Raw genomic sequence first — 1,958 nt, 5'->3', positions numbered from 1 at the left:
CCATGTGATATATTGGCTCCCCTTCACCTTCTGCCATGATTGTAAGTTTCCTGAAGCCCTCACCAGAAGCATATGTCAGCAGTATGCTCCCTGTACAGCCTGCAGAACTGTGAGACAATTAAACATCTTTTCTTTATAAATTATCCAGCCTCAGGTATTTCTTTATAGCAACTCAAGAATGGCAGAATACATGAACACCTGGAAAATAGAAAAAGACCAAAATCTAACTTTTACAGATAAAAATCAGAATTTGTAAGTTGAAAATTACATTAGATTTAACATTGCCAAACAAAGATTGGTGAACTTGAAGACACAGCAATGAAACTATTCAAGATTAAACGTAGACCAAAAAATCAATCAAAGAGGGTACCCATGAGCTGTGGGAAAGCTTCAGATGGCCTAGTAAACATTTGGTGAATCAACTAAACACTAATATAGGTAATGTTGTAAATGAAACTAAGATTATTAATCTGCTGAAAAGGGGAGATTATTAGATTATCCAGGTGAGCTCAATGAAATTATGCGAGCTCTTAGAAACAGTGTAAAAAGCTGAAAAAACAATCTGAGAGATGAGACAGAAAAGGAATTTGGAGAAGTTCAAATTATGAGAGAGACTTGACCTACCATGGCCAGGGTGGAGGTAGCCTGGAAAACATAAGAATGAGTGTCAGTAGTCTCCGGGTACAAAAAAAAAAATAGTTCCTGGCAGACAGCCAGCAAGAAATTTGGGAACCTAGCTATACAAACACAAGGAATTAAATTTAGCCACCAAACTAAATGGCCTTGAGGTGATTTTTTATTTTTCCAAAACCTCCCAATAAGAGCCCTGTTTGACTGACAACTTTCTTTCCACATTGTGAAACCTAGAGCAGAAAAACTTGCCAAGCCAAACTGGAATACTGATATACAGAACAATGAGATAACACATTTGTGTTGTTTCTAAAGCCTTTAAAGTATGTGGTAATGTCATGGCAACAATAGAAAACTAATACAAACTGCATAGAAAAATAAACAAACCAGCATTCATAGTTAAAGATATCAATAACCCTTTCTCAATAATTGATAGAACCAAAATTAAAAATAAATAAGTTTATAGTACACTTGAATGAGAGCATCAACAAGAGGATTCAATTAACACTTCTAGAATACTCCACCAATCAACAACAGGATTCATATCCTAAATAAATAATAGTTTCACTCTCTTCCTTTTGGTTGTAAAAATAATTTCCCAGTGGAAGCCTGAGTTTAAAAGTGATCCTTTTATGAAGCAAGTTGAACATTCATACGCTGATGGTGGGAACATAAAATGGTACCTTGCTTAGGAAAGCAGTTTGGGAGTTTCTCACAAATTGAAGCATTCATGTATCCTGTGACCCAGTCATCCTGCTCCTAGGTGTTTGCCCAAGAGAAATTATAACATATGACTGCACAAAGACTTGTCCATGAATATTCATGACAACTTTATTTACAGTAGTCAAAAACTAGAACTGATCTACATATTCATTGGCAGGGAAATGGATAAACATATTGTTGTATATTCACACAGTGGAATACTCTTCAGGGATAAAAATTAATTAAATACAAACATCCAACAACATAGATTAATCTGAGAATAATTATGCCAAATGAAAGAAGCCAGACAAAATGGAGTAATATTGTATGATTTCATGTATATAACAATTTTTACAAAATACAATCTAACCTACGATGACAGAAAGGAGTTCAGTGCTTTTCTGGGGTGAGTGGTACAGAGAGGGATGTGAGTAAGGGCTTATAAAGTGACACTAGGGGCCTTTTGCCGGTGATGGGATGTTCATTCACTTGATGGTAGTGGTGGTTTTATGGGTGCATATATGGTCATGTATCACTTAATATGGGGATATGTTCTAAGAAATGCATCATTAGTATCATTGTTGTGCAAACTTCACAGAGTGTACTTCAAAAATCTAAATGGTATA

Source organism: Homo sapiens, chromosome X (assembly GCF_000001405.40).
Source record: "Homo sapiens chromosome X, GRCh38.p14 Primary Assembly".
Classification (NCBI taxonomy): domain Eukaryota; kingdom Metazoa; phylum Chordata; class Mammalia; order Primates; family Hominidae; genus Homo; species Homo sapiens.
Note: the sequence above shows the minus strand (reverse complement) of the source record.